The following is a 22,123-nucleotide window of genomic DNA, read 5'->3' on the forward strand; positions in this document are numbered from 1 at the left end:
CATTTCCTGCCAGACAGCTCACTTACAATCATGCTACACACCTTCTACCAGCTGGCTCACCTCCTATCAGCCTACCCACATTCCTACACCTGGCTCACAGCCTACAAGAGCCTGTGTATCTCCTAGAGCTTGCTCATTTCCTATTAGCAGGCCCACCTCCTCCCTGCCTGCTTTTCTCCTCCCTGCCTGCTCACCTCCTCCCTGTCTGCCCACTTCCTCCTACCTCCTCCTTACCTGCCCACCTCCTCTCTGCCTGCCCAGCTCCTCCCTGCCTGCTCACCTCCTCCCTGCCTGCTCACCTCCTCCCTGTCTACCTTCCTCCTCCCTGCCCGTTCACCTGCTCCCACCTTCTCCCTGCCTGCCTTCCTCCTACTTGCCTGATCACGTTCTGCCAGCCTGCTCACCTCTGACTAGTCTACAGAATGATTGTGCCTTCTTTCACTTTTAGCAATTATGGGACATAGAAAATAAATAAAATAAATGTTCAGGGAGGCAGCAGGATTGCTGCAATCCATCCTTTCTCTCCAACTCCCAGCCTTTTCCTTCCCCATCACCTCCATCTGGACCCTTTTGCAGCTTCTTTTCAGCCTCCTGCTCCAGCTCCTGCCCCACAGTCCCTTCCTGATCAGCAGCCAGAGAGAGCAGTTATCTGCTCATGCCTCCCTTGCTTAGACCCTTTATGAGCTCCCCATTGCTCCCAGGATGGAAGTGAAACTGCTCCCCACAGCTGACAAGAACCCACAGGTCCTTGCTATGAACCTTCTCCATGAACCTTGCCATGAACCTTCTCCACCTGATGGGCCTCCTCCATGTTTCTCACGTCGCCCCTGAGGCTGTGGCCCTGGCTCCATCTGATGCCTCTCGCTCTTCCCCTGAGCTGAGCCTGCACTTCACAGTCATGTGAAGTCAGTCCAGGGCGTCCCTGCTGATCTTGCCCTCACTGGGCACCCACAATGGCTGCACCAAGAGTGTGTCTTCCCGGGAGGGTCCTTGCATCACAGGAGACCTTCCCAGTCCTACTGATGGGCCCCCACTGCTCCCCATCAGCAGCAGAGACCCCTCTTCTCTCCCCACCTGGGGCTGGCATTCCCGCGGGCAGTTCCTTCTCCTCTGCCCCAGGAGGATCATTTATCAATCACAGATGTGGGGCTATAGAGTCAGGACTGTGTGTCTATCTCCAGTGACCAGGTGCCAGGGAACCATTCAAATCCCAGCAATGTTGGGAAGGGGAGGAAACACGCCAACAAAACGTGGAGGGAGCAAAGAGGAAACAGAGATGTGTCTGGGAGATTAATCTGTCGCTCAGACATGAAAGAAATATGTTCAATTATATTTTATTGCATTTCATTGAAATGTACACGTCGTACTTAGCCGCCTGCAAGCCTAGGATTACCCAGAGAGAAGCACAATGAAAAACAAGGGAGAATGAAAACACAGATAAAAATGTTCCCGAAATCGAAATGATTTAGAAAGAAACAAAAACCAGGCTGGAGACAAAGAGGCCACTTGGCACCCAGACCCACAGCACTGACGCCGGCCCCACAGACAGATCAGCAGAGTCAGGAAACCCAGGTTATAGTCTTGGACCTGCCGCCAACAAGCTGTGCGACTTGGAGCGGATCACTGCCCCCTCTGACTCTCATTTTCCATATGTCCTGTGGGACTTCTCCACAGCAGCATTATGGACTTCTGGGGGCTGGATAATTCTTTCTCATGGAGGACCACCCTGTGTGCTATGGGATGCTCAGCAGCAGCTCTGGCTTCTACCCTTAGAGAAGGACCCACCACCTCCTCCCTGCCGGCTTTTCTCCTCCCTGCCTGCCCACCTCCTCCCTGCCTGCCCACTTCCTCCTACCTCCTCCTTACCCGCCCACCTCCTCCCTGCCTGCCCACTCCCTCCTACCTCCTCCTTACCCGCCCACCTCCTCCCTGCCTGCCCACTCCCTCCTACCTCCTCCTTACCCGCCCACCTTCTCCCTGCCTGCTCACCTCCTCCCTGCCTGATCACCTCCTCCCTGCCTGCCCACTCCCTCCTACCTCCTCCTTACCCGCCCACCTTCTCCCTGCCTGCCCACCTCCTCCTACCTCCTCCTTACCCGCCCACCTCCTCCCTGCCTGCTCACCTCCTCCCTGCCTGATCACCTCCTCCCTGCCTGCCCACCTCCTCCCTGCCTGCCCACCTCCTCCCTGCCTGCCCACTCCCTCCTACCTCCTCCTTACCTGCCCACCTCCTCCCTGCCTGATCACCTCCTCCCTGCCTGCCCACCTCCTCCCTGCCTGATCACCTCCTCCCTGCCTGATCACCTCCTCCCTGCCTGCCCACCTCCTCCCTGCCTGATCACCTCCTCCCTGCCTGATCACCTCCTCACTGCCTGCCCACCTCCTCTGCCTGCTCATCTCCAGCTGTGACAACTGAAAATGTCTCCAGGCTTTGCCAGCTGTCCCCTGGGCAGCAAAATCTCCCTGAGTTGACAAACCTGAGCCAGATACCCTCTGAGTTCATGTGGGAGAGGGAAGAACAAGAAGAGGGTCACAGTGATCCCCAGCCCAGGATAAAGGGAGACCCCAGAGACATCCGCTGGGGGCGAAGAGCCCATTGATGAATGGAGACCAAAGGGCACCTAACAGATCACAGCAGTTGTGTTGAGGCAGCAGAGGGTGGGCATAGGTGGATCTTAGCCACTCCTCCCTCCCTTCCAGTACATTCCCTTTGCCCTTGAAGTCCAGCCCCTGGGCTCTCTGCCCATCTCCACCAAAAGCCCTCTCAGGAAAGGCCCTGGAAATCCCCTCTCACTGCAGCCTAATTGGCTGATGTGGGGGAGGGGCAGGCACCTGGTCCCTCAGGGCAGCATTGTCCATTTGCAGACAGAGGTTTGTGGATCTTGGTGGGAGGGTGTTTAGGGACCCTCCAGGTTCCTGGCCACTGATTACACCTGCCCTCCAGGCAGGGAAACCATGCAAGGTACACCAGGCAGAGAAGCTGGGAAGGGACCACTGCTTAACACCCAGCTACCGTGTGTGAGTGTGTGTGCGTGTGTGTGAGAGAGAGAGAGAGAGAGTGTGTGTGTGTGTGTGTGTGTAAGAGAGAGAAAGACCCGTGGCTCAGTGATAGTGCACAGCAGGTAGCAGCTCAGACACTCTTTAAGGCTGGCGCCAGTCCAGTGGTGAAGCTTTCTCATCTGTCAAGAGCAGAAAAAGATGCTCCAAGCAGGGTCTGAAGAAATAGAGTGAGCCAGGCACAGCCCTGGGCAGAATCTGGGCCCAAGCCTGGCTGAGCACTCACTGTGCCAGGCCTCAGTGAAACACATTGACATCCTTCCATGCATTCATTCAGCAAATATATACTGAGCATCTACTATGTGCTAGGCTCCCTTCTAGGCACTCGCAACAGCACTGGACAAAACACAAAAGCCTCCTGCAGAGCTTATATTGAAAGTCCTCCACAAATGGCCAACAGTAACCCACACTGATTGAGCACTCGCTGTGTGCCAGGTGGGAGCTGAACACTTTTCCTGGCTCATCTCTGAGTTAGAGATTATGCCCTCGTGTTAGATGGGAGAAACTGAGGCTTTGGGAGGTTAGTAACTTGCCCCATGTCCCACCCAGTAAGTTCTGGGGTCAAAATTCGAATCCAGGCAGTTCTGACCAGGTCTGTTTTCTGAACCCAACACTATCAGTAGTGACAATAGCACCATTATTTTTCTGAGTATTACTTTTAAACCACCCCATCATCAGATCCTACAGCAGCCAAGACACCAGTTGAGTGTCAGGACAGGTCAGAACTTCCAAGGCTGTGGCAATCATCACTGATGCTCACTGAGCTGGGTTGCCCAAGTGGCCCTCAATGGGCCCCGCATTTTACATGCATCAAGCCAGTAAATCTTCACAGAGACCAGAAGGGAGGCACATGATTACCCCCACAGCACAGTTGAGAAAGCTGAGGCCCAGTGAGGCTAAGTGACCTGACCGACGGTCTGCAGCTCGTAGGTATGAGACCCACATTCTTGAGAGCTCAGTGCAGCCTTTCTGGTCTCACCTAAGCCAGACATCCACTGAAACAGAATAGGGCAGGGACTAAGCCCCACACTCCTGGAGGAGTCCCATCTGCACTCGAGGTGCCCCATGGGTTCCCCGCCCCCCTCTACCTCACCCCAAGTCACTCCCTGGCCCCATCCGGATGGGGGTGTAAATGGGAACTTTACCCCACCCCTGCCCCCATCTGACCTCAGAGCTCTAACCACAGTGGCTCAAACTATAGGCCTGCCAGAGCCCCGAGCCCTGCATCTGATGGGTGTGGGGGAGGAGGTGAAGGAAGAAGATGACTGAGCCTTGGGCATGGATGGACTTTTCATGAAAACTCATCATGCATGAGAGACAGCCTCCCCTCCCCAGCCTGTATGCTCAGGCCTGTAGGCAAAGAGGAGCAGCCTCTGAGGGTTGTGGGGTCCTGAGGTCACGTAGCCCAGGTGGTAGCCCCAGTCTCCTCGTCCAGACCACCCAAGAGGGAAAGGCCCCCCAGAGATGGCATCCAACTGAATTCCAAAGCCCCAGGCCCAAATCCAGCTTCTCCACTTCCAGCTGCGCTTACCTGGGCAGGTCACTTTCTGACTCAGAGTCTCAGTGTTCTTTTCTGTAGAAATGGGGACAATGTCAGATCCTGCCTGATGAGGTGGTTGAGAACAAACAGGTAGGCAAGGAGCTCAGTGCCATGCCCCACACACCCAGCAAGTGTTTCCTCTCAGATATCACTAGAGGCTGGAGACCATGGACCCTCATCTCACCTCCCTGGACATGTGGGGTTTCCAGGAAGGCAAGGCATGTGGAGACAGGAGATGACTCACCCGAGGTCACAGGTAGGTTCAGAGTGAAGCCAGGGCTCCTCCTACACCTTCATCCCAGACTCTGATCATCAGCGCTTTCAGAGAAGGGGACAAGGCCTCCTCCCCACCCACCACCACATGGAAGGAGCTAGAACCCTCGTCGTCAGCAAGGAAGGGGAACATAGTCACGGAGGCTGGGGCAGAGGAGAGTGGCATTGTCGCCCAGAGAGGGTGGAAGTGCAGCACCTGCAAGAATTAGCACAGCGCAATTTGTTCTATTTTAGTCGGAATCTCCACGTCTACTATCTTAGTGGCTCCTGCCACTCGGGAGAAATGGGCACGGTAAACATCTGCCTGCTTTCTAGCTGGGGAAACCAAGGCTCAGCAAGGGGAAACAATTGACTTACAACTGAAGAGACAATGAGTCACAGACATGGGATTTGGACTCAGTCCTCAACTTGAACCCAGACTCTCCCACAGCACCATTCACCCAGTGCATCAAAGGGGCACTAGACTGGGAGATGGGGTGCCTGGGTCAAGCCCAGCTGGTCACGAGCTAGCAGGCAAACTCAGCGGTTTCCCAAAGGCGCACCTCTCCTAACCTTTGCACTAGGTGTTTATCCAGGGTGTTCTCCCACCAAGGGCTTCAGAGCTTGACTCTGGAGTTACACAGAGCCAGGTTCAAATTCTGCAGCTCCCTACTGTGTTCAACCTCTCTGACTCCAGAGTCCTCATTGGTGAAATGGGAAATCTGCCTCAGGATGAAGTGAGATGGCACAGGCAGTGCCTGGCACAGCAGAAGCCCTCAGTAAGTGGTGGTGGTGATGGTGGTGGTGGTGGTAGTGATGCTTGTGGTAGTGGTGGTGGTGATGGTGGTGGTGATGGTGGTGGTGGTGGTGGTGGTGATGGTGGTGGTGGTGGTGGTGGTGGTGGTGGTGGTGGTGGTGATGGTGGTGGTGGTGGTGGTGGTGGTGACAGTGGTGACTGTGGTGGTGGTGGTGGTGATGGTGGTGGTGGTGGTGGTGGTGATGGTGGTGGTGGTGGTGGTGGTGACAGTGGTGACTGTGGTGGTGGTGACGGTGGTGACGGTGGTGGTGGTGGTGGTGGTGACGGTGGTGATGGTGGTGGTGGTGGTGGTGGTGGTGGTGGTGGTGACGGTGGTGGTGGTGGTGGTGGTGACGGTGGTGGTGACAGTGGTGGTGGTGGTGGTGACGGTGGTGGTGGTGGTGGTGGTGACGGTGGTGGTGGTGACGGTGGTGGTGATGGTGGTGGTGGTGGTGGTGATGGTGGTGGTGACGGTGGTGGTGGTGGTGGTGATGGTGGTGGTGATGGTGGTGATGGTGGTGGTGACAGTGGTAGTGATGGTGGTGGTGGCGGTGGTGGTGGTGGTGTTACAATTCTGCACCAGTTCTTTATCCTTCAAAACACAGCTCTAGCATGTGCTCTGGGATGGCTGCTGCCTGCACATTCTAGGGGGCGCCCTTCACAGCATGTCCATGTGTGAGTTGTGCAGTACACAGCCTGTGCAGCAGCATGCTGAGGCCCTGAATTCTAGAAAGCCTTCCTCACTGGCCAGGTTTGGTCAGGGGCCCCTCTCTCCTCTGTCACCCCTGGTCCACACCAGACTGTGAGTTCCTTGAGGGTAGGGGCTTTGTCCTGCCCACCCCTGTGTCCCCAAGCCCAGCTCAGTACCTGGCCCACAACAGGGCAGACATCAGCAACCATTCCTTCAGCTCATGGGCAGCTGAGCAGATATTTACATCTATGTTTAGTCTCCAAAGCTCTTAACTGAGGTCCAAAGATCTTAAGTGACTGAAGTAGTTAAACGTACCCTACTGACATTTGCAAAGCCAGAGATCTGAAGTGGCCAGTTAGATGCAGCCTCGTGTCAAAATACACAAGCCCCACGTCTCATTGCCAAGTCACATGCCTGACGACCCCCATGTCCCCGCCCCTCCCGGCTTAGCACCGGCTGAGACTTTGAGGAGATGCAGCGAGGGCGTCTGTCTCAAACGCCACCGAGTTCCCTGGCACTGCAGGAAACCTAAGGGTCTATTTCGTAGGCCATGTCAAAATGTTTCTGGTGTTGCCCAAAATAGCTGCTCCAGACACTCGTGCTGTGCCAACCACAGGAGGAGAAATGGCCCAAACATGTGACATAAGCAGGTGTGATGAGCTGCACCCCCCAACACACGAGAGGGGCAACTCCGAGTGCAGGAGAGTCCTGGCCTTCTCCAGACGTCCCCAAAGGGCCATGCAGGGACCGAGGCTTGGCGTCCACTCACCTCGGGCATTTGGTTTCCTGTGGTGCTGGCCGTGAGGCAAATGTCCCTGGAAGGGGGCATCAGGCTCAGTGGCCTTTGGGGGCAGCTGGAGCCTCCATGTGCCAGGCCCTGTGCTGGGCACTGGGGTTGCAGAGATGCCAGATGCCTTCCGGGGAGGGGCGTCTATGCTGAGCCCCGAGGGTGAGATGTTAGGCAGACGTGGAGGGTGGGGACTGACCGTCACACACTGCTGTCACCTGCCACGTGCTGGGGCTGTGTTCTAAGCGTTTACTTGTATTAAATCCTCACAGTAGCCCCCGTGAGAGTGAGGCAGACACTATCACCACCCCCAGTTTACAGATGAGGAGACTGAGGCACAGAGAGGTTAGGAACTGCTCATCATCCGGTCACCCACCAGGCCAGGTTTCAGACCGAGGGGGCCTGGTTCCCGAGTCCTCCCAGGTCCCTGCTGTGCACGGGCAGAGGGAACAGCAGTGGCATAGGCTCAGAGGCAAGAGTGGGGGCAGGGAAGACTCAGGCAAGGGATGTAGCTCAGTCTCACCTGGAGTGACAGTGTGGGCAGCTGAGGGCGAGTAAGGCTGGGGGAGGGGCTGGCCCCGGGGACCCTGACCCGCAGTCAGGGTATGACCACCCACACTCACTGCCCCGGGCAGGAGGACAGGGATGAAGCTTTGCCCTCAGGTCACTAGGCGGTGACTCCTGCAGGTGTCACTTCCCCACTCCCGGGCTGTCTTTGTCACTTCTGGGCCCACAGCCCCTGGCATGGGGCAGGGGCAGCCCTTGTCCATTTGGACTGCATGGGGCATTGCTTTCTCCTGCTCTGCACTCAGCCCCGAACAGGCACGATGCGGCTGCAGACATGGGGGCCATTGCCCTCTAGCTCTTGACCCAGCCGGGGACAAAGGTGGGCATCCTGAGTGCTGCACCCGACATCACCAGCTCCCTCATTCCTGGCATGTGGTGGGGTCACTCCTCCCACCCCCTCTGAAGGCAGATGTGGTCACGTGACTGGCTCTGGCCGCTGTGCTGTGAGAGGCGGTGGCATGTGTCACCTCCAGGAGGGGCATAAAGGACCAGGGCAGGGTTGATGCCTTCTTCCTTTTGCTGTGTGACAACAGAAGCCCCACCCAGGTGAAAGGTGAGAGACTGCAGTGAGCAGAGCCCCGAGCCCCGCCCTGAGCCTGCCAGGCAGAGGCAGGGAGCCTGCTCCTGCTAAGGGCGCAGAGCCGTTAGTCACTGCAGCACAGCCCAGGCCCAGCCCATGCCCTGCACGGAGCCAGGTCTCCCGAGAAGGTGAGCACCACTGTGAGGAGCGAGGGGGTGGGGAGGCCGACTCCCCAGCCCCCAGGCCCCCACGGAGGCTGGTCCCTGTGGGACGGGTCCCTCGACGCCACCAGTCACAGGTGTGGTGGTCCTGCCAGCATCAGGGTGGCTCCCAGGCCCCACCTCCAGCCTCTGACTGACCCAGACCTGGGGCCAGACAGGCGTGTTCCATGACAACATGCAGCTTGCCCCAGAGAGCCACTGGGTGCCCCATCCCTCTGTATTTACTCAGCCACTCAACAAGGAACATAGCCGCACACCAACCCTGTGCCAGGCGTGTGCTGGGCCCTGGAAATACCCAGGAACAGGACCCATGAGGCCCCTGCCCGCCTGGAGCTCATGGACTAGTGAGAGCAACAGTGATTCCAGTAAACCCCCAAGGAAAGAATTACAGAAGGTGCTGAGAGAAACCAGAGGAATGCCAAGAAGCTGGGGTGAGGGGAGCCAAGTCTGTGGGGCAGTGGGGGGAGAGGTCGCATTTAAGCTGATGAAGATCAAAAGGACTGGCCAAGTGGAGGAGAGCAGGAAAAGGCATTGCAGGCGGAGGGAACTGCATGGGCAAAGGCCCTGTGGCAGGAAAGCGCTTGGGTGTCCTCTGGAGAGACAGCAGGGAGGGGAGGGAGGGCAAGGGCTGGGCCACACAGGCCTGGGAGCAGCAGTGGGGGGTCTGCACTTGATCCTGGAGGGAAGGAGAAGCCACTGAAGGGTCAGGAGGAAAAGGATGTGACCAATCCTCATTTCGGAAGAACCTTCTGGGAGCCCAGGGCTAAGCACAGGGCCTGGCATACGGTTGGTGCTCAATGAATGCTTGCTGACAATGACACTGCAGGAGGGAAATGGGGACACTCCATGTAGGGCGACACTGACCGGCCCTGTATGATGCACCTGAACTAACACCCAGCCGGCAGGGCTGTCCCCTCGAGGACAGTGAGGAGCTGGTGTTTGTGGAACAGCTGCCACTTGCCTGGCTCTGAGTGCAAGCTTCTTACGCGACAGCTGAAATGTCCTCAATGATGACCCCAGGAGGAGGGGGCACAGAGGTCCCTAGTGAGGACCAGGAGGAAAAGCAAAGATGTCCCCAGTGAGGACTAGGGGGAGGGGGCACAGCCGTCCCCAGGGAGGATCAGAAGAAATGAGGACCCCAGGAGAAGAGGCACAGATGTCCCCAGGGAGGACAAGGAGGAGGAGGCAAAGATGTCCATCTCCAGTGAGGAGGAGGAAGAGGGGGCACAGATGTCCCCAGGAGGACCCCAGGAAGAGGGTGCACAGATGTCCCCAGTAAGAGGCAGGAGGAGGGAACCCAGAAGTCCCTAGAGAGGAATTGATGCTGTTTCCACAATGAAACTGGCCCAAGGTGAAATGCTCTAACCAGACACCAGTTCGTTTGAAACAGATTCTCATTACAAAGCTCATCAAGAAATATTTCAATCTGGAAATCGATGGGAGCTCATGGAAAGAATTACTTGCTGAATAATGAAGAAGGACAAGTCGATAGTACTGAGTAAACGGCAGAGGAGGAACGTCTCAATGCCTTCCCTGCCTGAGCCTGCTCGGGCTGCCATAACAACACCCCACAGACTGGGAGGCTTAAGCAACAGAAATTTATTCTCAAAGTTCTGGAAACTCAAAGTCCAATATCACGGTGCCAGCCTGGTGGGGTGCTGGTGAAAGCTCTCCTTAGGGTGCCCATGGAGGCTTCTCACTGTGTCCTCACAGGGGAGAGAGAGAGAGAGAGCACTCCAGTGTCTCACCTTACAGGAGCATGAATCCCGTCAAAGAGGCTCCACTCTCCTGACTTCATCTAACCCTAATCACCTCCCAAAGCCCCCCCTCCAAATATCATCGTGTGAGGGGTTAGGGCTTCCACATCTGAATGTGGAGGGCGAAAGGACGCAAACGTTTAAGTCACATGACCTACGCACAGCCTCTCAGCCATCCAGTTGACGAAACTGTGACATTGAAATATGAGGAAACACGCAGCCTCCTAACAAGAGAGACAGAAGCCAGCTCAAGTGATAATGAATGCTACCTGGGAAACATCAGAACCTGTGGCCTGTCTGGCCATATTTTCTAGCCATATATGTGACTCCTGAGAGCCCCATCAGTGTCCCCAGGAGAGAACCCCATGCCTGGACTCATGGTCTGGCCCTGCTCGGCCTCTAATGAGAAATACAGAACTCAGCACGCCTAACACTGTCTCTGGACCTGATGTTGTCATTCCCTCTTCATCCACAACCTGCACCCCTAATATACAGTCTGCTTAGCCCCAAACACACTGCATACCTTAAGGAGTCCCCCAGACCACCCAGCCATCAACCCTGGCTCTGATCTCAGCCTATTTTTCCTGAACCAGACATTCAGGGCAGCTTGTCCTTGTGCTAATGTTTAATAACAGTGGGGGCAGCGCATTGACGGAGTCGCAGCCAGGATTCTGGAGTCAGAGACCTGGGTTCACATCCCGGCTTCTGTGTGACCCCGGCCAAGCTCCTTTGCCTGTCTGAGGCTCAGTTCCCTCATCTGTAAAGCGGCGGTCATGATTCCTGCCTGATGGGACAACAGGGAAGTGAGATGATGTGCAGAAATTGCTGTGCAGGGTGTCTGGCACCCAGGAAATGCTCAGGAAGCGTAGCTCACTGTTGTTGTAACACTAAACAGTTTATGGGAACAACGGGCATCACTGGCAGGTTCACATTCTCTCTCCCGTGGAAATGACCATCTCTGACATTGGCACGGAGCTTGGAACCTTGCAGAGCCCTCTCATGCCCTTCTTCCTAGGGGACCCTCAGAGTGACCCAAAGAGGCAGGTGAGAACATAAGCTCTGGAGCCAGACTCCCTGGGCTCAAATCCTGTCTCTGCCATTGCTGAGATATATCAACTTTAGCAAGGTATTTCCCTCTTTGAGCCTCATTTCCTCAGCTATAAAATGGGGAGATGATAATAATACTGGCATTGTGGGCTTGTTGCAAGGGTTAAATGATTTGGTTTATGTAAAGCACCTACGATATAGGTATAGTAGTAATGTTTTTACTATAGTACGTAGAGTAGTAATGTTTTTATCTTTATCATTCTTTCCATTTTACCAAGGATGAGGAAACCAAGGCTCAGAGAGGAAAAGTAGCCTCCTTGAGTCCTTGCAGCTGTTGACATTGCTGGGCCAGGATTCAGAAGCCAGTGCTTTGACCCACTTTCCATGGTGCAGTCCCAGGAGTTGCTGTATCTCCTTCGCTTTGGAAGGGGACAGATGGGGACAGGAACCTGGAGTCCCTCACTCTTGTCTGCATGGGCTCAGGGCCAGGCCAGCATCTGCTGCCCAGGCAGTGCACAGGAGAAGGGGGTAGCAAAAGTGTCCAAAGATGACTGACCACACGCCCATCATGGCACTGAGCACCTGAACTGCGTTTTCCCTTTTGTCATGACAACAACTCTATTCCCACTTCACAGAGGGGCAAACTGAGGCTCCGGAGGCTGAGACGCGTGTCCAGGATCACACAGATAATGGCCATCAGAGTCGGCTCTAACTCGGATCTGTCTTTGCCCAGGCCCCACGTCCCACCTGCCCGTGCCAAGTGCTATGCAGTTCCGGACACATCTCATTGAATCCCACAGCATCCTTGGAGGGAAATCTCACCCCCCATTGCACAGGCAAGGAAACTGAGGCCATGCTGGGCATGGAACTCCCCCAAGGCCCCACAGCTAGTGAGTGGAAGAATCCCACAGAATTCAAACTCAGGGCCGTCTGTTCCCAAACCCACAGTGAAGGTAGTTCCCTCCTCCCTGCCTTGTTCTCGAAGCCTGCAGGGAGCTCGATGACCGCACTGTGGGGAGGGCACTGCAGGGACAGAGGGGCCAGCTGGGGCCTGCAGGAGGGCAAGCAGGGCAGTTCTGATTCCTGGAGTCTCCAGGAACTTTCACAGACTTCAATCCTCCAAGAGGCCAGGAGGGAAGACATGAGAAGAATCTCATTCTCTGGGTCCTCTTCCCATGGTCTTTGCAGAGAGATGTAACTGCATCAAAAGTAGAAGTTACCACTTCAAGGGCCCCAGGATAAACCCCACAAAGATGGATTTTTCTTAACCTCACTATCTTTCCCTCCCCAGGGTCGGGGGTCAAGTCAATAACTTCCTGCCCACTGCCTGCTGCAGATCCCAGCAAGGCTGCAAACCTGTGTCAGCTGTAAATCCATCTCCCCCTGGAAACCAACTGGAAACCCAGTTGCCAAATCCACCCTAAATCCAGCAGTTCACAAATCAAAGGCTGCTTCTGGGCTCGTGCTGGGCTGGGCAAGGCGCCCTGGGGACGCCGTCCTTGAGTCTCCATCTCCCCAGACTCAGATTTCAACCGGGGTCAGGGGAGCAGCATGGACCTGCCAGGGACAGGCCCAGCAGGAACTGAAGGATAAACTCCAAACCAGACGAGTGGTTGCTGTTCCAGCCCACCTCGCCCTCACCAGTGAGCTGTAGTGGACACTCCTGCCAACTGGGCCCAGGAGAACTCCAGGCATGCCTGCAAGGAGAGGAGGGCCTCAGGAGCACAGAGAAGCCACCCTGGGCCCAGAACTGAGCTCAAGCAGGTCTCACTCAGCCAGAAGCATTTGTCAAGCACATGCTCCAGAGAACACCACGGTTCTGAAGTTGCCCAGGAATTTACCTCCAAGTTCATTGTTTTGCAAAGCTAGAGAGCTTAGGCAGAGGCTCCTGCAGGTGAGGAGGAAGCATGAAGTGGAGCTCATTCCCAGGGTTCTCTCCCTGAAGCTTCCGGAGGGTGGCACGGGTGCCAGGCAAGGGAGGTGGAGATCACGGGCACTCACTCTGCGTGGAACCCACTCACACTTCTGTCAACTGGGTCTCTATACCAGCAGTGGAATTCTTCCCTGATCCACCAGATTCCCCATCCCTCCCCAGTTCCACTCCACCCCCTACAGAGCTTCCCAGTGCAATCAGCTCCAACCTCCATGCACGGCACAGCCCTCTGTTCCCTCTGTCAGAGTTCCCTTCCTGCCTGTCCCTGAGCTCAGGGACAATAGGAGCCTGTGGCCAGGTTTGCCCAAACTGGCACCTTGACTCCTGGGCAGCAGCTCCATGCATATTGTGAACAAATGAATAAGTGAATGAATGAGTGAGCAAGTGAGTAATCAAATGGATGCAAAAGCCACTTGCCCCTGGTGCACCCCTAGCCTCTCCTGGGAATAAACTTGGCCCCAAAACACTGTCTTCATAAAGCCAACAACAGCCCCTCACACATGGCCATCACTAGCCTTAACAAGTCAATTTCCCCTCCTTTCCTCCTTTGATCCACACAAGGTAGGTGCCGCTATTATTCCATCTGGGAGGTAGGAACACGAAGGCAGAGGGGGACTGAGTAACTTGCTCAATATGGCATGTTAAGATCAGATCTTAACCCAGATCTATGGGCCCACCTCTGTGCCGTCCAAGGCTCCTGACCCCACTGCCAGGCCCCTTGGCAGGGTAGTACATTGTCCTGTCAACATCTTGGGATTAGCCCCTCCCTCTTCCCCAAACTGAGGCCTTTCCCTCTGAGCCTTAGTCTCTGCTGGGCTTTATTAGTAAAGATTTAGTGTCTGGATTGAGGGAAGTGAAAGTCTTGATCAGATCCAGAGGATGGTGTTTGCTCTGGACTTAAGTGGCACCCGGACTAATGGGACTTTGTACCAAGGATCGATTGTGGGGTAATGGGAGCCCTCCCCTGCCACACCTCCTCTGCCGTCCCCAAGCCCGGGGTAGGTCCCATCCAGCTGCGCTGTCTCACACAGCCTGTGGGGAAGCACAGCTGTCAGGGCTGGATTTTCAGGATTAGTTTGGTTGAAGATGCCGAAACCCAGCTCCCGTGGCTGATACCAAAGGGGGCATTCCCAGTGGGAAGCAGCAGGGCCTCCAGGAAGCAGGAGGCAGAATCAGAGACCCCCAGGGCTGGGCTCCTCGCCTCTGCATCGGTTCCTACCACAGGCTGAAAACAAATTGTTGCAAGTCACATCCTCAGCCGCCACAGAGGGATCGACTTTCTCACTGCGGCATCAGTGACAAGTCAGATGTCCGTCACTGTGCCCAAAGGCACAGGGGCCCTGCCTGGTCCTGCTCTGGTGAGGTGCCCATCCTTATGCACCAAGAAATTGTGGTCAGGGGAGGCAGCAGGACGAGGTAAGACCATGGGAGTCTCCACCACTGCCATGTGGAAAGGGAGTGGGGGAGGGTGCAGGAAGAGGGAGGGCAACTGGGCAGACAGACACCCCCATTTCACAGATGAGGAAACTGAGGCTCCCAGAGCAGAAGGAACTTGCTGGAGGTCACACAATGAGTAAGCAGCAGAACTGGGACCCAAGCCCAGATCCATCAGGCTCCAGAGAGTCTGTGCTCTAACAACCAGGAGGCCCTGCCCATTCTGCAGTCTGAAACCCCACAGAGGTAAGAGGGTGGTTCCAGGAGACAGGGACAAACCTGAGAGCCCCCTGGCTCAGGACGCCAGGGAAGATGGCGCTCTGCCCTCGGGTCCCATCGCCCCACTCAGAGGGCCCAGCTGAGTGAGCACGCTCACGCTTCGCGGCCCAAGCCATTGCCAGTAAATTACTCCCAGTAACGGGGTGTTTGCCCAGGGAATTAAAGAGGCAGTAAACAGTTGCCAGAGTAATTAGACACGAATGGCGGACGTGCCAGGCTTCTCAACGCCGGGAAGCAACTTCCATAGTAGCCTCCCTCTGCAGGGCGAGATGAGACCACTGGGTTGCGATTGTCAAGTTAAGCAGCTGAGAGCCAGAGAATCAAAGAGACGGCAAGACATTGCTGGGGGGAGACAGGGTAACCTTGGAAACTACTGCATATAATCCCCTCCGTATACAGACGGAGAAACTGAGGCCCAGGGAGGGAGAACAGACCTGCCCAGGGACACCCAGCAGATTAGAGGGAGAGGTAGGTCTGGAGCCTCGGTCTCATGGGAAGCAGGTCAAGCCAGTTCCTGGCACACTTGGTTACGCACCGTTCAAGGTCATCTTGGGGAGAAGGGTCACAGCTCTGGCAGTTAATGGGGGCACAGGTAACAGCGATGATGAGTGAAACTTTGGGCACACATTCATTCATTCGTTTAATGAGTATTTATTAAGTTCCTACTATATTCTGGGTTCTGTTCTAGGCTCTGGGGAACAAGGCAAGCAAAAGTCCCTGTCCTCAGAGAGCTGACACTCCAGAAACACAGAACCCAAAGGCAAGTCGGGAACTCAGGAGGCTCACAGGGGCCTAGGCAAAGGGAGGTGCAGAGACAGCAAGGAGGTGGAGTTCAGGGGAAAATGCATACATGAGCACCCTCTCCCGCTTCCACATGGCCTGGGAAAGGGATCGAGATTCCAGAGGAGCCATCTGGCCCTGTCTGGCTCAGAACCTGCCTCTGGGCCTTCCCAGATCAGGCTAGTGGACACACAGCAGCTGTGAGAAGTGCAGGCACAGAGCTGGGCCTGGCAGCCACCCACACCTGCAGTTCCAGCCACAAGAGCAGGGCCACAGAGAGCCACAACCCACAGATGGAGCATAGTGAACCACTGCAGATGGGCCTGAGGCAGGGCAGCAGCCCCTAATGGGGGAACAGGAAGATTTGCAGACAGGTAGTGGACCCCTGGAATCTCATGGACCTGCATTCAATCCCAGCCCTGCCGCTCACTTGCTGTGCTACACTAGGCAAGTTACTGATCTCACTGAGCCTCGGGTTTCTCATCTGCAAAGAGGTTAGAAATGAAAGTCTTTAAGCGCTGACCGTCCATAATCAGAGCTTTGAGCAGCAGACAGTTCGCAAGATTAAAGCTGGGAGGCACAGCAGGTACTGTGTGTTGCACATCAACCAGGCCAGACAGTGTGAGGAGCACTTCCTGTAAATCCTGTCATTCAACTGTCTGAAAACCCCTTGAGCCTGGACCATCCTCTCTGCCTGCAGTACCCCAGACCCTCTTTCCCTTCTGTCCCCAGTAAATCCCATCTCTCTGCTTAGAATAAGCAATTGGCCATGGATCAGGAGGCCCAGATCTATGCCAGCCTCTGCCACTTTCTCATTGTGTGACCCAAAGCCACATGTCTCAGTTTCCCCATCTGTGTATTGAGTGCTCATCTTGGAGATCTGACATTTCTTTTCTGCAAGTGGGCTTGAATTGTCAATTCAACACACCTCCTGTGTGACTTTGGAGGAGTCACTTAAAGTCTCTGGGCTGGGCTAACCTGCTCACCCAGAAGCCCTGCAATTGGAAACGGGGCACCTTCCCCTGCCCACCTTGATTCCCATTCAGTGTCAGAGCTTGAACAGAAACTCCAGCTCCACTCCCAAGCCCCTCAAGATGCCAGGGACACTCAGGCTGCCTCCCTAGCCAATCCCTCAGGGCGAGAGACAGGGAAACACCTGCACTCCAGAACTGATAGTCTAAAAACAGCAGCCAGGGCCCACCTGTGGAGGATGAAGAGGAATGCACCCAGGGCCTGAACTGCCCAGAACTTCAGACCCTGGATACAAGCCCCAGGGATGGGGAAGCTAAGCAGCCAGTCCCCCAGCTCGGAGAAGGTGGGGGGAACAGAGCCCAGGAGAATGGGAGTAGGGAGGCTTAGGGACAACCTTTGAAAAATTTAAAAACTGATACAAACTTTATTTTATTATTTTTATCTCCATCATAAAAACAATGCCCAGGCACCCGCAGACAGAGCTGGTGGGAGTATAAATTGGTACAATATTTTGGAAAACAATCGAGTAATAGTGATTCAAGTTAAAATATATATATCTTTTGACCCAGCAAGCCCATATCTAGGAATTTACCTTACAGAAATATACACTAAATGCCAGGAAATGTACATACAAGAATGTTCCTAGGAGCACTGTTTGTAAAAACAGGGAGAAACTGCAAACCAATAGGGGACTTGCTGGTGAAACATGGGGCATCCACACAAAGGAAAGAAATGCAGTTGGTTTTTTTAATGAGGCAGATCTATACATGCTGTCAGAGAGACATTTCCAAGACCAATTAGAAGGGAAAAAAAGAAAATTGAGTAACTGTGCATAAAATGTGATCACATTCTTATAAAAAGAAAAGACTCCAGGGGCCTGAAAACCAAACTGCCAACTCTTGAATGGTGGGTGTCGGGAGGTCAGAGGAGATGGGCGATGTTTATTTTCTACACCGGGCATTTCTGAAATGTTTGAAAGCTTCTATTAGTCAGAAAAACAGTAACAATAACAGTATTCATTTTCAAATTAAATTAGCACACTCTGGTAACAAAAAAAAGTGTTTTGTATTGTTTTGTTTTTTAATGTGAATTCTCAACACCCAAAGGTGTATTTTTAACATTTGGTTGCATTTCTTTCAGTATTTTAAAATCAGTTTTTCAGGCATAGTTATTATTGATCTGTATGTATAATTTAACACCCTAGGGTTTTTAAAAAAAAAAAAAAACTCGTATTATAGCATTAAGCATTTCCCAGCTAGCATGAATGTAAACAATGTTTTCATTGCCTGTGGAGTATTCTGGGTGGTCCACAGTTTTAGGTTGTTCTTTTTTTCTTTTCTTATTTTTTTTTTTTGCTATTTTAAATAGCCCTGTGGTAAACATATTTATGCCTAAATTTTGGCAGGAGAAGCATACGGGATCTTTTAATGAGTTCATGCCTTATTAAAAACATAAAATATATATGTAACCAATCTACTGAATGGGTTGAACTTGGCCAAGAGACAAACAGAAAGGATATAAACCCCCCACTACAACCTCCGCCTGCCAGTGTGCTCTGCCTAATGCCCACCTCGTCCCTCGAGGACATCGCAGATGGGTCTTTGGGCTCTGTGGACCCTGCAGACACACCAGCAACCCTGTGTTAATCCTGTCCACCTGTCAGCATTGACCGGTCCAGTCTGGTTAAGCCACAATGTCTCTGCTCCAGCTCGGGCCTGACTGGAGGTAGGGACCCCCGCAGGAGCTGGAGCCCAAGGTCTGCATCTTCTCTCTCCCTTCTGCCCTCTCTGCTTTTAGCCCCTCCAGGATCCTGTAGGACAGGATGTGAATCCAAGCTGCCAAGTTCCAGGGTCTGTGTTTATAGCCACTGCGCTTCATCGAATGGAAGGATAGAAGGGAGTAGGGGAGCGGAAGATGAAGGAACCCTTGGTCTCCAGCCACTGCTGGAGAGAATGACAGTCTTTCCTTGGACACACCTAACAAGCCCTCTGCCTTTATGAGCAGGCTCCACCCACTCTGCGTGCTTGGCTGCAGACTCAGACGCTCTGGTGAGGAAGGAAGTTCCTCTGGTGAGGTCTAAAAACCTGTCTCACGGTGGATCAGGCCTGTAATCCAGCACTTTGGGAGGCCAAGGCGGGCAGATCACTTGCAGCCAGGAGTTTGAGACCAGCCTGGCCAACATGGTGAAACCCCATCTCTACCAAAAATACAAAAATTAGCTGGGCATGGTGGCACACACCTGTAATCCCGGCTACTCAGGAGACTGAGGCATGAGACTCCCTTGAACCTGGGAGGTGGAGACTGCAATGAGCCAAGATTGCACCACTGCACTCCAGCCACTGCACTGGGCGACAGGATGAGAACCTGTCTCAAAAAAAAAAAAAAAAAAGAACCTGTCTCAGATGCTTCTTTCTCTGGCCACTGAGGTCTTTACCATGAATCCCTTCATTTCTGCAAGGAAAATGCCTTTGAAATAGCAACCAATGTTTTCTCCTATGATTTCCAGTCATCCCTCAACCATGTTTCAGGCCACAGTTAGGTCACTCAGGCCCTGCTGACTCCAAGCCAGGACTTTTAGCAGGAAACTGAGTATAAAGTGAACCTCCTCTGCCTTTTAAGTAGCAAAAATCTAGGCCCCCAGGGTGTTGGCAATAGATGTGAAAGGACACACAAGGATTCTGAGCAGGGCTGTCCATGGGCCAGGAGAAAGATGCCCCTGGTTGGGGGATTGAGGACATGGAGGGCTGGGGAGGTGCTCGCCAAGAGTTCAAATGCTGTCCCCACCGCTGCCACACGGCCTACCAAGCCCCCATCATCCTCCCCCAGGTTACTGCTGTGGCCTCCTCTCTGGTCTCCCTGCCTCCACCTTTGTGCCCCTATAATCTGCCCTCACAGCAGCCAGAGCATCCCCTGATGACCTAAGTCAGATCGTGTCAGCCCTCCTCAGAGCCTCAGGTGATTGTCCTCACTCAGTCAAAGCTAAGTGCTTACAGGAGCGTAGGAGGTCTCCCCACGCTCTGGCCTCCTTTGCCTCTTAGCCTCTCATTCCAGCAGGAACTCTCCACCCTCTCATTGCCCTACAGTCTCACCACCCTTCATGGGCCTTGAACACACCAGATGCACTCCTGCTGCAGGCCCTCGGCACCAGCTGTTCCCTCTGCAGGAAGTAGCCTTTTCCTAGACTTCTGCACAGCTTTCTCCTTTACCCACTTCCAGCCTTTGGTCAAACATCACCTATTCAAGGATGCCTTCCCTGCCGCCGTCTTTACAATTACACTTCTGTCCCCCTTGAGCCAGCAGTTCTGTCACTGGTAAACTGAGTTATTTCCCTACTTTGTGTCAGTTACAGAGAAAGAACACCCAATGGTTTAAAAGGCAAGCAGGATTGGCCAGGCGTGGTGGCTCACGCCTGTAACCCCAACACTTTGGGATGCTGAGGCAGGTAGATCACTTGAGGTCAGGCGTTCGAGACCAGCCTGACCAACATGGTGAAACCCCGTCTCTATTAAAAATACAAAATTAGCCAGTCGTGGTGGCACACATCTGTAATCCCAGCTACTTAGGAGGCTGAAGCAGGAGAATCGCTTGAACCTGGGAGACCAAGATTGCAGTGGACCAAGATGGCACCACTGCACTCCAGCCTGGGCGACAAGAGCGAAACTCCATGTTGAAAAAAAAAAAAAAAGGCAAGCAGGATTTATTCACTGGCCAGAGGAGGAGTGAACTCTTGCTCCCAAGACACCTCCTCCCAGCCAAGCTGTGGGAAGCTGGGGAACTTTAAGGAGTTAGATATTGGGAGAGGGGCAGTTGCAAGTAAGTGCAAGGAATAACTTTAGATTTGCAGGCACAAGTCATAAACATGTCTCTTCATAACACACATGTTCAGAAAATGGTGGCACTTCTATGGGTGGGGATTTAGTATTATAATGATATGTTGATGATCTAAAGGAGTCACTAGTTCTGGTTTGTTCCAGTTTCCAGCAGGCCTTCTCATCCTCTGATAATTAGCAAAGGGTCCTGAAGTTCCCGGGCATATGCAGTCCTTGTAAGCTAGCTAGAGCTAAAGAGACTAAAAGAAACTGTTAAAGAGAAAATATCGAGCTTTTTCAGCCATCTACTGCTTAAGAAAATAATGAGCACTTTCACGTGTTTTGTTCCCTCTGCTATGTTTCTCCAGGACTGCCCTGGTAACAATTCCTGGCCCCTCATCCTGTATCACAATGTTTCATCACAGTCATCCTCTGCCAAGATACTCTGCAGTTTTACTTTCTATGGTATTTACAATCGGCCTGCCCATCACTAGACTCTATGCTATGTAAGGGCAGGGACCTTTTGGTTTTATTTTCCCCAAGGGAGGCACTCAATCAATACCTGTTAAATACAGAATGGACTCCTATCCTGGGGGCTTCCTTCCCGCCTGCCTCCTGGAGTTATGCCTGGGAAGGAAAGGATCTGAGAGCAGAGGGGCGTGGAGCAGCTTTCCCTCCTGGAGTCCCAGGAAGAAAGGGATGCTGAGGTATCCAGGGGCTGTGGCTGCAGGTGGCCACACAGTGTTTCCTGCAACTGGTATGGCATAGAAGAAGCCCAATGAGGCTGACTCGAAGCAGGCCTGCAGGCAGATCAAGCCCAGCTCCCTGCATGACTCCGTGGCCGAGGGGAGGGCAGGGGATGCTTCTACAGATGCCAAGATGGTGAATGGGCCCTGGAGTGAGACACACCCTGGGATAGGATCCAGATGTGTCAGGATCATGAGAAAAGACAACAAGCCACATCTCATGGACTTCTGAACTGAAATTTGTAGCTGCTACATGGGGGGCTCTTCCATCCCCTCCAGGACTCAGCCCCAGCACGGGGGGGAAGGAACAATGCTTTTCACATGCTTTCCACATGCTTTCTCCAAAAAGTGGAAGAGAGTAGACCACACCGGGCTCAGGGGTTTTAACCAAAGCTGATGCCCTCAAGCACCACGGTAGTTAAGTTTATGTATCACCTTGGCTGGGCCATGGTGCCCAGATATTTGGTCAAACATTGTTCTGGGTGTTTCTGAGGGCACTTTTTAGATGAGACTAACATTTACATTGGTGGACTTCTGGTAAAGCAGATTGCCCTCCATAATGTGGGTGGGCCTCATCCCATCAGTCGGAAGCCCGAGTAGAATAAAGAATGACTTGCTCCCCTGAGCAAGAAAGAATTCTGCTAGCGGACCCAGATAGCAACTCTTCCCTGAGTTTCCAGCCTGGCGGCCCACCCATTAGAGTTTGGACTTGCCAAGCCTCCACAGTTGTGTGATCCAGTCCTTAAAATAAATCTCTCTTGGGCCGGGCGCAGTGGCTCACGCCTGTAATCCCAGCACTTTGGGAGGCCGAGGCAGGCAGATCACGAGATCAGGAGATCGAGACCATCCTGACTAACACGGTGAAACCCTATCTCTACTAAAGATAACAAAAAATAGCCGGGCGTGGTGGCAGGCGCCTATAGTCCCAGCTGAGG

General features: G+C 53.8%; 3 annotated features.

Annotated features, from left to right (window-relative positions):
• Positions 1 to 691: an enhancer, noted in NCBI's record as "H3K27ac-H3K4me1 hESC enhancer chr1:31122410-31123100 (GRCh37/hg19 assembly coordinates)". NCBI's record gives its function as "activates a minimal SCP1, AML or CMV promoter by ChIP-STARR-seq in naive H9 embryonic stem cells {active_cell/tissue: H9 hESC(naive)}" and the evidence as "EXISTENCE:reporter gene assay evidence [ECO:0000049][PMID:30033119]".
• Positions 12,471 to 13,402: an enhancer, noted in NCBI's record as "H3K4me1 hESC enhancer chr1:31134880-31135811 (GRCh37/hg19 assembly coordinates)". NCBI's record gives its function as "activates a minimal SCP1, AML or CMV promoter by ChIP-STARR-seq in primed H9 embryonic stem cells {active_cell/tissue: H9 hESC(primed)}" and the evidence as "EXISTENCE:reporter gene assay evidence [ECO:0000049][PMID:30033119]".
• Positions 13,848 to 14,349: an enhancer, noted in NCBI's record as "H3K4me1 hESC enhancer chr1:31136257-31136758 (GRCh37/hg19 assembly coordinates)". NCBI's record gives its function as "activates a minimal SCP1, AML or CMV promoter by ChIP-STARR-seq in naive H9 embryonic stem cells {active_cell/tissue: H9 hESC(naive)}" and the evidence as "EXISTENCE:reporter gene assay evidence [ECO:0000049][PMID:30033119]".

This window comes from Homo sapiens, chromosome 1 (genome assembly GCF_000001405.40).
Source record: "Homo sapiens chromosome 1, GRCh38.p14 Primary Assembly".
NCBI classification, from domain to species: domain Eukaryota; kingdom Metazoa; phylum Chordata; class Mammalia; order Primates; family Hominidae; genus Homo; species Homo sapiens.